Source organism: Homo sapiens, chromosome 4 (assembly GCF_000001405.40).
Source record: "Homo sapiens chromosome 4, GRCh38.p14 Primary Assembly".
Lineage (NCBI taxonomy): Eukaryota > Metazoa > Chordata > Mammalia > Primates > Hominidae > Homo > Homo sapiens.
Window position 1 is genome coordinate 145,139,451 of NC_000004.12, and position 13,653 is coordinate 145,153,103.

At 37.0% G+C, this 13,653-nt stretch overlaps 1 protein-coding gene across 6 annotated transcripts in view; it reads right to left on the bottom strand.

Moving 5' to 3' along the window:
- OTUD4 (OTU deubiquitinase 4) overlaps positions 1 to 13,653 on the bottom strand; it is a 46,940-nt gene that overhangs the window by 5,801 nt on the left and 27,486 nt on the right. For all 6 annotated transcript variants that reach the window (XM_047415838.1, NM_001366057.1, XM_011532041.3 and 3 more), the window contains exons 11-20: positions 13,091 to 13,185; positions 11,352 to 11,455; positions 11,063 to 11,249; positions 6,817 to 6,979; positions 4,861 to 4,984; positions 4,496 to 4,551; positions 3,915 to 3,995; positions 2,746 to 2,884; positions 1,929 to 2,189; positions 501 to 541 (exon numbers count right to left, since the gene is read on the bottom strand). In XM_047415838.1, coding sequence (XP_047271794.1) covers positions 501 to 541; positions 1,929 to 2,189; positions 2,746 to 2,884; positions 3,915 to 3,995; positions 4,496 to 4,551; positions 4,861 to 4,984; positions 6,817 to 6,979; positions 11,063 to 11,249; positions 11,352 to 11,455; positions 13,091 to 13,185 — 1,251 coding nt within the window. The remainder of the gene's footprint in view (positions 1 to 500; positions 542 to 1,928; positions 2,190 to 2,745; positions 2,885 to 3,914; positions 3,996 to 4,495; positions 4,552 to 4,860; positions 4,985 to 6,816; positions 6,980 to 11,062; positions 11,250 to 11,351; positions 11,456 to 13,090; positions 13,186 to 13,653) is intronic.

Here is a 13,653-nt window from a genome sequence, read left to right on the forward strand (position 1 = left end):
GATACCTCTGCTCTTCTAGTCAACAACCACACTATCTTACATAGGAGGATGTACACGTTATTTCCTTTGATCTTTTCAATAATGGAGGCAAGTAAAGAATATTACCCCCATTCTATAAATGAAAAAAGCTAGGCCCAGATACACTACATGGCTTGCCCAGGGAAATTCAGCTAAAGAGTGATGGAGCAGAACTTCAAGCCCAGATTTACATCTAATTATTCCCCAGCAAGGGCATTTCCACTAGGCTGCCCAAAGATGCAGCTATGTCTTAAATATACTCACAGGTTAAGCCATCACCAGTTAAGACAAAAAAGTAAGTAAAACTGGAGCCTCTACTAGCACCAAAAACAAACGATATAGTACTGAAAATGCTGGTTTTTAAAATGATGAGATTTAGTAAACTTTAGGTTACTGACTGACAGGGTAAGAGTTAACACTAGTAATAATTTAAAACACTATTAATGAATAAAATAACTTTTAAGATGATAAAATGTAAATACCTTCACACCAAGATTGAAGAAGAATCGAAGAATATTCTTATCTAAAAATAAAAGTAATCACTTGTTAAAATTATATATCTGCAGAGATTTTTTTAAATCATCCTCATTAAATATATAGTTCTAAAGACAATTTTACCTACTATAATTGTCTTCTCTAGCCTGTGATACAAAACATAGATAAAAACTGTAATATAACACAACCCAAAAACAGGTTGTTCCCAAAGGTTAATTCCAGATTCAATAGGCTTTGTCTGTTAGCATATAAATCCCAAAATGGCTTAGATTGAAATTTTTATCTCATTAAAACTGAATCTGGGTAAAGGACATTCAGGTGGCTTTCTTTCTCAACTTTTCTGGGGGTTTAAAAATTAGGAAATAAAAATGTTGAGAAGAATGGTAAAATCAACATAAAACCTAACTTATTAGTAGCATCATTTGCAGGATAATATTCTTCCAAGTATTCATATGCCATGAGCCAGTTACTCATAGACACAAACATCAAACTACTAACTAATAAAACAAAAACATCCACATAAATCCAGGTAAACAGCATATAGTAGTCAGTGCATTACTCAAATTTACAGATATAAAATTTTGGAAACTAAAAAGGAGGGAGGTGTAAATTCCTTAAAAATAAAGAGGGAAAGCAAACTTTGAAAGAATTTTTTAAACAAAAATAAGACATACTAAATATAGTACTTTAACAGCCACTACATACTATATTTGCTTTTCTCTGTAACTTTTTCACGGATGCATGTCTGAAATGCAGACCAGTGTTGATAAAGCTCCACAGTGTTTAGGTATCTAATTAGTGAAATTATTATTGTAATTCAGAATGGTTTCAAGTCCATTTATGTAAAAACACAGAAGGAGGTATCATTACTAAGCATACTAGCATTAACAAGTATGCTAGAAACAAAAAAAAATTTTCTGGGCCAGGCGCGGTGGCTCACACCTGTAAACCCAGCACTTCGGGAGGCCAAGGCACGCAGATTACGAGGTCGGGAGATCGAGACCATCCTGGCTAACACGGTGAAACCCCGTCTCTACTAAAAAATACAAAAAATTAGCCAGGCCTGGTGGCATGTGCCTGTAGTCATCCCAGCTACTCAGGATGCTGAAGTGGGAGAATTGTTTGAATCTGGGAGGTGGAGGTTGCAGTGAGCCGAGATCACACCACTGCACTCCAGCCCGGGTGACAGAGCGAGACTCCGTCTCAAAAAAAAAAAAAAAAAAAAATTATAATACATTTTCTAATAAATCAAGCTGAAACAAGAATGACTGACTAATAGCTAAAACTTTGCTGTCCTTCCCATCCTTGAGCTTACTAAGAAACCAGACCTCTGACCTCTACTTACATCTCTTCATTTCTTAACTAAGCTTATTTGGACTTGATAAAGTCGATTTGAACTTGGAGAAGGAGCTCACCTTTAGGTAGGTCCTCCCCAGTCTGACACAGTGAATAAGGTGGTACAATGGCTCGATCTCCCTTTTCATTACAAGGAAACCCAGGATAGAGTGGGTCTTGATAAAGGCTCAATGTCTGAGGCAAAGGCATCAAGGGCTGGTTAACTGCCTGTATTGACACAGGAACTGGAGAGGGTGTTAAATGAGCTTGGGATACAGCTGAATCAGGTCCAGTGGTCAAAGTCTGTGTCACTGACAAAACGGGAATTGGAGCAGGGACACCTACAAAAGAGAAGAAAAGGAATCAAAATGACAAAAGATGAAAATCTCTACAAATATGCTTACATTAACCTATAAAGAATGCTGTATAACTGATAAAGCCAATCTAAAGTAGTACCTTTTAGTATCAACCAAGAGCCCTCCTGGACACCAAGAAGGAAATACGTCCAGGATACAAGCTCTGAGTCAATGTCTTCTAATAGTAGCTCTTGCAGGCACGTGTAGGACATGGGGCTGGTCAAGGGGTTCATTACGGGGCCATAAAGAGCTGGCCCATGAAGGAAGCATCAAACCGTGGTGCTAATTAGTGCTGAGCAACCAAAGCAACCAGCTCAAACATCATGCTCCTGAGACTATGAGGGCATATGTCAGATGAATACAACACCAAATGTACATGGTCTTTCCACATTGGAAGCAGAGCAAAGCAGAGTATCACAGAAAGCTCTGTGAGGCTCCACACACCTAATCCTGCTCAGAGGTCAAACTTCCACTCAAGAATTTGAAGTCTCTGACTAGAAAGGTATTTTGGCTGGCTAGATTTTCTAAACCCTTCTCTAACCTGTTGGTCCAAAAGTTGTAGGTTCACTTGGCCAGGCTGGCACAGTGGCTGGTAAAGAAGGCACCGCAGGAGTTAGATGTACCTCTGGAGAAACTAGAAGGGGAGCTGGATTTGACAAAGACACATGTTCTGCTGGCTTCTTCAAGAAAGGGGTGAGTGGGGGAAGACAGAAAAAGACAAGAGGTCATTTTGCTTTAACACTATTTCTAACCACCAGATACATATTGAGTTGCCTGCCTTTTATACAAATGAAGTACAAATAGCCCTTATAGTCTTAGAAATGTAAGAAAAACACACAGTAGCTAAAGATAATATGCAAACAAATTTGATCCTAACCAAGGGTTGCCTACCAACAAGGACTGTATTTTTTAATACAGACAGGGTTTCACCCTGTTGCCCAGGCTAGTCTCAAAACTCTTGGGCTCAAGCGATCTGCCCGCCTTGGCATCCCAAGGTGCTGGAATTACAGGCGTGAGCCACCGCACCTATCCACTAGCAGAGTTAAATACAACACAATACTTTTAAGGCAAGTGAGCAAAATCATTGAAATCTTGAAATTCATGATTATTTAGAAAAACTCCTCATGTAACTATATGCTTTCTTACCAATATGAAGAATGTTGGTTGAAAGGCATTTAACATTTAACTTTCTCTACTCTTGTATTAGTCAAGAACTAAAATGTCTGCTAGAACACAGGTTCATCATGAAATTTGTAAATTGGTATTTTTTTAATGTATATTTTTCAAACCTTTTCAATCAGTACATTCCCTCCCATCTGTGAAATAACTGATGCAGATAACTCTTTTAAATTTTGAAATAAAGTAGAAATTCAGTTTCCCTTCAAAAATCTAATTTTCAAGGAAATCTACCAAAGTAATACAAAGTATCAAATATAACGATAACAAATATAAATATATTCAAAGTCAATTCAAAAAAATGGTCTCAATCACCAGAAAATGGTGGTTATTTCTATAACATTCCATAAATAGAGAACATTCTAGACTAACATCAGAATACATTTAAAAATCATAACCACAGCCAAACTGTGATGCCAGAAAAAATTCTCCCATTTCCCATACTGATGTTTTCTGTTTTTAAATGACCCTATACACAGAGCACAGAAACCCAGAGAGTGGAGCATTCAATGTTAAATGCAACAATATACTTACTTGTTCCGCAGGAGAAGGGCACTCTAACTTCTTTGACTTTGATGGTGATGAAACTGTTGCATATTTATCATCAGTAATATTCTTTGGAAGCAAAAAAGAAGCAAAGTTTTGTATTTCAGAGACCCACATTCTGGAATATTGATGGTTTCCTTTTATAATTCACCCTACCTGTATCTGACAGAACCCTCTCACCACTGAGTATTTTTTCCAATTATATGTTATTTTCAACAGGTAGGCTAACTTTGCCTGAACATCTTTATTACATCAAACTACTGGGCAGTTTTCACTGGAGGCAAGGCTTCAAACATTATACTCTTCTCCTTTAAAAACATCACTCTAGAGGGACAGAGAATAAAGGCTACTTTCTAACAATTCAGGCAGGGCACCCTAATGTACCTTGAAGAAACTGTCATAATTTGTGAGTGACTTCTCAATCCCCATCATCTTTTCCCTGCTTTTCTACTTTCCTAATACACAGCTATAAAATTTCGAAATTATTTTCACCTTCTTCCACTTCTTCCTACTGTACTACACAGTATTAAGGAAAAAGAAAAGATGCAAGTAGTGTTTAAAACTTTTACCTCCAATGTGCTTGGTTCGGGTCTTTTATCCAACTGACTATGTCCATGAATAGAGTCTATAGCAGATCAAGATTAAAAAAGACAGCATAAGCCACCAGTCATGTCTGAACACAGAAGAACAAAATACGAAGATAGAAGAAGCCAAAAGTATTATTTGAACCATGTTTAGTCAGTGAAAATGTAGTTTTTAGAATAGCACTTAACATCCTTTAGCTTGAGTCAATACTTCTCTGCAACATTCAAAATATGTGACATTAGATAAACTACTTAACAACTTAAAAAGGGTTCTTTCCCAAATATATGACATTAAGCCAGTCATCTAAAGAGATCTCTAGCATCTGCTTTCTAATGATGAGATAACTTACCTTTGTCTTTTCGTTCTTCTGTATCCATTCTCCGCCTGCTTCCTTTTCTATCACCTACATGTGATGATTTTCTCTGGACACATGGATTGCTACTCTGAGAAGCTGACTGATTGACTGATGAGCTCTTTAAAATGAACAAAACCCAACATTTTGTGTTAAAGATTTACCCACAGATACATGAACAAATTCTGTAATTAATCTCACTCTTCATACTTCTAAAATCTTAAAATTCACAGCCCTGTATTTTTAACTGAAACTAAAGAAGATAGAATCTAGGGTCCATAATTAATTATACACCCTAGAATAATAGTCTTATCGCTAAGTTGAAAGGATTAAGCAATCAGATTTCAACTTAGATTAGTAGACTTAATCTTCATATCCCTATTTCAGGAAGCCACCCTGAACAAACCTTTACCCTACAATTTTTCTTTCAAAAAAAACAACATCTTCTGTGCCAACCTTCCAAAAAAATCATTGTAGCGCCATATTTTTTGGTGGGGAGTTGGGGAGAACCTAAGTGCAAATTAGCAAATACAGTGCACTAGGATTCTTATCACTGAAATGCTTACTGTCAGCAAATCACTTAAACTCTGCATGAGATAAGGGACTGAAATAAGTGAGGTTTTTAAGCTAAATTATCACTGAGGGTTCTAGGTTCCTGTTTTGGCATTCTAAATAAATGTTCCACACAGCTAAGAGGAGGATCTCAGCCCTCTCTAACAGTTTTCTAGAAAACAAATCTGAGCCACTATCAAAAGCAATCAGTATCAAACTCCTTAGTCTAAAATGATGAGTATGAAGGACCCCATTCTTAATAAGAAAGAAATTTCACCATCTGTACCCACATTACAGTAGTTGTACATTTACAATTCACTAACTGAAAAATGCATAATGGTATGAATACAAGCTTAAACAATTTGTAGTTGTTATTTATATAATAACACATGACATGAGAGATAAATGTACTTTGCACATAAACAATGCTTATTTATGTACGGATTTGGGCACTTCAATTATTCCTAAATGGATTCGGCACTTCTTCCAATAATTCCTAAACTCCAATGCCTGTGCCAGATTAAACTGCTATTCCAGATCACCTGTTTTCAACTGAGCTCCTCCTCAAGCCTCTAAGGAAGTCCACAGAGACCAGAAGACACACCTGAGTGTGTGGGGCTTTAATGTTTTATACTGGTATACTGGGTAACCTCCCGTAACAGTCCATTATTTATTTAATCTACTCTAAAGAGAGAAAGTGTCCAACCACCATTCTGGATCATAGGTCATTTGGGTACTACTTACCAAGATGTAAAAGACCACAGGCACAGGCTCCCAGACATGAGAATGAATTAGGTACCCCTCCTCTGTGCTGCCAACAAACCCACCTCACAGAGCACATACTTCATTCTACATGAGAACAGTTTTCCCTTCTGACTTCCCAAAAAGAATTAAGAAACCTGAAGATAGAGAACACTTCTTTTATCAGAGAAGCATCCATCACAGCCCAGTGCCTGACACATGGAGAAAGGACAAAGCCACAGGATGACATGTGCTACCACCTCCAACAGCAAACACCCTGAAAGACAGCTCTCAAAAGGGCTTCCTGATTTTACACATAGATCTTGTAATGGATTAACTAAATCATGAACCTCTACTACACAGTACTTTTGCTAACAAATTAAACACATTTTAGTTCAAAAGAAAACACGAAACACTACAAGTGAACAAACCAGTTTACTTGCCTCAACTCTATCATCAACCTTTTAGTAATATCTCTAGGTCTAGAGATATTACTAAATATGTGAAAAGGAAAAATAGGAAAAATGTGAAAAATGTGATCTTTAAAGTATTTAGAGTTTAAAAATTATTAGTTTACCCTTGGGAACTATGGCTTAATCTAAAAACTATATTAAGAGAAACTTCTGTATAATGACTTTTAAACTGTCTTTTCATACATACGGAAAGGGCTGGGAAAGCCTGTTCATCTCTGTTCTGAATCTCATAGAGTAAACGGGATTCTTCTATAGCTTGCTTCTCTCTGCGCTCTTCTGGGGAAAGGCCGAAATAGTTAGATTCTCGACTTGTGTGATCAAAATCCTCAACTCTTTCACGATCAGGTTTTCTGTCAAATAAAACATTCTTGTCAGAAAATACATAAATAAATAAATAAATAAATAAATAAAACATTCTTGTCAAAAAAAAAAAACACAAAACTGTACTGAGTACCTAAAATAAAATGATCTATTTTGCAACACAAACATTTTACTAATTTAGCTACACTGACATTTTAGAACATTTGGCAGTCTGGTTAATGAATGTTTAAGCAAATGGAAGCTCCTGTAGCATTAGCCTACCTTACAGAGAGTCAAGAAGACAAACAGCAATGGGAGGTAGAGGGGAAAAGAAAAAAAAACTTATTTCCAAATGATACAAAAATGAGTGAGCACTGTATATACTTGTTATACCATATTCCAATATTTTCATTAAGAATTAATTCTCAAAGGGAAAGTTATTAGTTTAGGTCTCAAAAGCATTCTCACTTTCTGTTCTAAGTAAAGGGGAATGGTCCAATGGTCCAATGAGACACTAGGACCATCTTCCCACTTGTTTATGACACCACCAAGGGAGACACAAAGCTGAAAAAGAAAAACTAAAACATGTCAGGCTGGATACCAATTGCATAGATAAGACTGCTGTCATTTCAACATAATTTTGGTCAAAAAAGGATGACAAGAAATTAATGAATAGAGTTTAGTACCCTATAATCCAACCCTAATGTGTTATATGGCTTATAACTATCAAAAGCAGTATGAATACTATTTCCATCATGTCTAACAGTTCTTCAAAATGGAACATGAAAATCTAAAAACCTCTAAAAAAAATACTTTGTCACAGTACAAAGAAATATTATCCTCCTCGAGTAGAGCACTATGATGTTATCTGATTTTTTTTTAACCTCTGAAATAAATAGCCATTTCATGTCCTTACACAGTCCCATTTATAATCACACTCTAATTACAATAGGACAGATGTCAGCCCTAATGGTATCGATGAAAAAAGGGAGGGATAGAAAATCTGGACTCTCAAAATTTTAGACCAATCCTTCCCAAATCCCAGTGGTAAAAAATTTTGAAGAGGACTCAGCAACTGTCAGGAGTCTCTGGAAAATTAGCACTACCTTATCACCATCTCCTATCATCCAAAAAAAATGACCACTACTATATGGCCTTCATCTCATCCTCACCTACCACACAGAGAGAAGCTACTACTACCTATTTTCATCTAGCTTGAAGACAGATATTCAGCCACAGTATTTCCTGGATAGCCACATTAACAAAAGCATATATGGCAATCTTGCTTGGTTTTTGGTTATATTCTGTGTTTTCTCCACAGGAAGAGACAATTATCAATGAAGAAAAACTGGAAAAAGTGAGAGGCCAAGAAGGTCTCATATCCAGCACTACGGTTCTCTTTTGCTCTATAACTAGAAGAAATTCAAAAGTGATGTGTTACAGATTAGAAATACAGTGAAGATGAACTGTACTGGGCTTAAATCAATTAGATTGTTAGCTATAAAATTCTAAAATCTGACTAGATTTTGTAATCTTACTTTAAATATTCAATAAAGTTTTTAAATGTTTTAATACATTAGTAAAATTCACTCACACACACAATGGAGAAGGCATACTAACCTAATGACAAACTGCAAATACCACTAGGTTCTAATGTAATTAGTCACAATGTCAAAAAATCTCTAAAGTTTCATGTCTATGGTATTAATTACCACTGCCTTGTCACACACCATCAAGTATTTTTACATACCAAGTAACACATATAGCTAACACATAAAAAAGGATCCTAATAAGATATGCTTCTCTATACCATAGTATTGAAAACACTGTTGATTAGAGGCCGGGTGCGGTGGCTCACGCCTGTAATCCCAGCACTTTGCAAGGCAGAGGTGGGCTAATCACCTAAGGTCAGGAGTTCGAGACCAGCCTGACCAACATGGTAAGACCCCGTCTTTAATTAAAATACAAAATTAGCCAGGCATGGTGGTGCATGCCTATAATCCCAGCTACTTGGGAGGCTGAGGCATGGGAATCGCTTGAACCTGGGAGATGGAGGATGCAGTGAGCCAAGATCGCGCCACTGCACTCCAGCCTGGGCAACAAGAGTGAAACTCCGTCTCAAAAAAAAAAAAAAACTGTTGATTAAAAGTATTACTGGTACAAGACATCTATCTGAGCACTATACCAATTCATAGGCGATCAGAGTCAACACCAGAAACACACTGGATTATAAATTCAGTTTATAATAAACAAGTTTATTTAAATTAACCATTTAGTAGTCTATGTGTATTTTCTTTATTAATCTTTAAATCACTAAAGAGTACACTTGTGTTCAAGGAAAAAGAATATTGCTTTTTCTGTCAAAAAATGGGAATATTAAACAATTACTTTCTGCCTATAACCTTCCTATAGTTACTTTATATTTTTAGGTTTCCAAAGTTAACATTCAAAGTAAGTTAATATCTTAGATACTTTTCGTGCATTGAGTAAGCTACCACCAGGGGCTACTGGAGTTTGGTCAATGTCCAAACAACAAACTTCAGCCATAACTAGTTGATTAGTGGCATAAATTCTGTCTGTTTGGGAGAGGTAATATAACGGATTAGAATCATTAGTATTTGTTATGGATTGAAGTGTATTTCTCAAAAAGATATGTTCATATTCCTAATCTCTAGTACCTGTGCACATGACCTTATTTAGAAATAGGGTCTTCTCAGATGTAATCAAGTTAAGGTGAGGTCATACTGAATAGGGTAGGACCTAAACCCAGTATGACTAATGCCCTTACAAGAAGAGACAGACACAGACACATGGGGAGAACACCATGTGATGATGGAAGCAAAGAATGGAGTGATGCACCTACAAGCCAAGGAACCTCAAGGACTGCAGTCAACTCCAGAAGTAGGAGGCAAGCATGGAACGGATTCTCCCCTAGAGCCTTCGGAGACAGCATGGCCCTGGCAACAACTTGATTTCAGACTTCTAGCAACCCGAAGTGTGAAAAAATAAATTTCTGTTGTTTTAAGCTGACCAGTTTATGGTATTTTGTTACAACAGCCCCAAGAAACTAAAATAGTATTGATAAATGTCAGCTTAAGAAGCTATAATTCTGTCTTGAAGACGCTACATAAAACATATTTTTTTCTTTCCTTTCTTTTTAAGACTAGCCAACTACAGTAGTGAGAAGGGGTGAAAGAGTAGAACAAGGAGTTTGATCTGTAACTGACTGTGAACAATCAACTGAGATAACTCACGACCTTCACACCAGCCTATACATCTTCAGTGACAAAATGTTAAGTGCATTCACAAAAAAAGGAACACCCAAATGCCAGAAATAATGGAACTAAAGACCAGAGGGTTAGCAAACACATAAGCTGATGCTACAGCTCTTCGGGCAATTGAGAAGGTGCTTTGATGGGAAAGGTACTTGTCATAGTCACCTATGAAGACTCCACAGGAAACACGGTCATATTTGCACGATGAAGACAGTTTCAACATAAGACACAGCCTCTCAAATAAAGCTCTTCCAAAGGGCTATAAAATTACTGAACAGAAAGTGAAGACTAGGGAAAAATTAAAATCCATATAGCACAGGAAAATTATGATCCTAAAAGTTCATCTGCCTCTGGATACTTAGTCAGAATGCTGATATTTATAATTTCACAGACCTAAAATTGTAGCCCCATTCGGTATTAAGAGACATCACCACAATCAAAACTTATCAGATCAAAGTAAACCAATAATTTTGGGCTGTTTTAAGTTCTTGTACAAATGGGAGTATCCTCACCTCCCAAGGAAATAGGAATGCAATCTGGAATCCAGTATTTACCATATTACAAGCCACCAGAAAATAATTAAGTGCCAGAATAGAATTGGGCTAGAATAAGATCTCCCAAACCATTTGAAAAAATTACTAAAAAATAAAGGTCTCTCTATATATACTTCCTTGCTTTGAAGAGAATTATAAAGAATTGAGATCCTCACATGAAGTTTTATACAAAATGCTCTTAATACTAATATAGGGACAATGATATGAGTAAAAAGTTATAATTATTCAAATGCACATAATGTGGCAAATATAACAAATGCCTCTTACTTGATTTCTATACTTCTCTTACATTCAAGAAGGTTACCTTATGATCTGTGAAGGTGTCCGGCTAAGATTTTTGTGCTCACTGGAGAATTTCTGAGACTGTGACCCTGAAGAATGACTAGAGAACGCATGTTGTCTTACTCCTGAAGGATGCTGCAGTCGAGGAGGTAGTGCTGATGGGGCTTTTATTGGCTTGCTTGGATTCTTTGGCCCTCTGTAATCCACATCTGTTGTAAGAACCCAAAAGTACATGATAATATTCATATTATAAACAATCCCAAGTACCATCATCCCAATCCCAAAGGAATGATAGCTTGATGTGCTCCTACCAGAATGGAAATTTTGTCCAGAAGTGGAAGGTTTTTTCATCTTCTTCCCTGACACTGTGTTCCAGCTTTCTGGGGGAGGTGCCTTGAGGTTCTTTGATGTGTGCCTTCAAAGGGGAAAAGACTTGTGATAGCTTAAAATACCCTAGTAAGAATAGTTAAATATTCTGCATATTTATTTTCAGCTTATATAAGAATTTCTAGTTTTATTTCTTACATTAAAAACAAATTACAATTAAGGTACAAATTGCATTTACCAATCCAGATGTAATTCTAATAAAAAAAAATGATATAAATCAAAAGCATATTTTCTAATTTTAAAAAAAGACAGTTGAATCACAATCTAAGCAAAAGTTAAATAAATACAGAATGACTTATTCTGTTAGGATAATGGTACTGTAGTTAAGGTGGGGAAGGAAGTCTTTGTTCTGTTAGAGAAACATATAAACATCTACTGGAGAAATGGTGTGATGTTTGGATTCCTTCAAAATATGCCAATTTCATTTTCATTTTTTAAAAACATATTAGGGAAAATAGAATAGAAAATATTGCCAAGGCCAGGTGCAGTGGCTCATGCCTGTAATCCCAGCACTTAGGGAGGCTGAGGTGGGCAGATCACAAGGTCAGGGGTTCAAGACCAGCCTGACCAACATGGTCAAACCCCATCTCTACTAAAAACAGAAAAAATTAGCCGGGCGTAGTGACACATGCCTGTAATCTCAGCTACTGGGGAGGCTGAGGCAGGAGAATCACTTGAACCCGGGAAGCGGAGGTTGCAGTGAGCCAAAATTGCGCCATTGCACTATAGCCTGGGTGACAGGGCAAGACTCCATCTCAAAAAAAATGAAAAAAATTTGCCAAACGCTGTTAGTTGCTAAAAATGGGTGTTGAGTTATATTGGGATTCAAAAATTGTGCTGCTGGTTATAATGGGGATCTATTCTTAATTTGTATATGTTTAAATTTTTCCACAGTAAAGTTTAAGGTGTGACTTACTACCTTTTTCTCTAATAAAGCCCAGCGGCAACTGAAACAAAGATGCTCTAAAATAACACTGTATAAGGTAAGCCAACAATATTTTGCTACTCCATCTGACAAACACTGACTGAATACTAACTACATGCAATGCAGTACTGAATGAATTTAAAATGAATCCCTCCAAAGTTCCCATATTACGATCTAGTCAATTTCTTGAACTGCCTTTGTGCACAATGGTACATTTTAAACAGTAAGCAACAAAACAAATAATCTTCATTTAAAGTTTGACAATGTGCAAAATACTAAATTTGCACATTTAGTGCTTTTCTAGAGGTCGGAACAAATATACTTTCTTTTTGTTTTTTTAAGACGAAGTCTAGCTCTGTCGCCAGGCTGGAGTGCAGTGGCTCACTGCAACCTCTGCCTCCCTGATTCAAGCGATTCTCCTCCCTCAGCCTCTTGAGTAGCTGGAATTTACAGGCATGCGCTGCCATGTCCAGCTAATTTTTATATTTTCAGTAGAGATGGGGTTTCACTATGTTGGCCAGGATGATCTTGATCTCCTGACCTCATGATCCACCCATCTCGGCCTCCCAAAGTGCTAGGATTACAGGCATGAGCCACCGTCCCTGGCCCAAATATACTTTCTATACATGGGCAATTATCTTTCATTGAATTTGCAAATACTGAAGGCCATTTTAAAATGCTCATGATTAGGCTAAATGGAGGAGGCAGTAAATGCCTTAGCTGAAGAGTAGTACATACTTCTTTCCCAGTTCTTCAACCAAAACTGGTCCATTCTCAGAATGAATTCCTTGAACATCTGCATTCAAAAATTTTCCATTGTGATCCAACCTAACCTGTTAAAAATTCCAAAAATGAAAAGGAAAAAAAAAATCAGTCACCTGCTTCCTTTGCATTACTTATCAGTTTTTTGCGGTTCTTTTTTTTTTTTTCTTGAGACAGGGTCTCACTCTGTCACCCAGGCTGAAGTGCAGAGGCACAATCTTGGCTCACTGCAACCTCCACCTCCCTGGTTCAAGCCTGGGATTCTCCTACCTTAGCCTCCCAAGTAGCTGGGATCACAGGTGTGTGACACCACACTCGGCTTTTTTTTTTTTTCTTTTTTTTGTATTTTTAGTAGAGACAGGGTTTCACCGTGTTGGCCAGCCTGGTCTCAAACTCCTGACCTCAAGTGATCCACCCGCCTAGGCCTCCCGAAGTGCTGGGATTACAGGCGTGAGCCACCACACCCAGCTTTTAAAATTTAGTCTTTAATTAAACAGAAAATAAAGTTTATCAGTAAAAACAAAATAAGTTCAAATAGG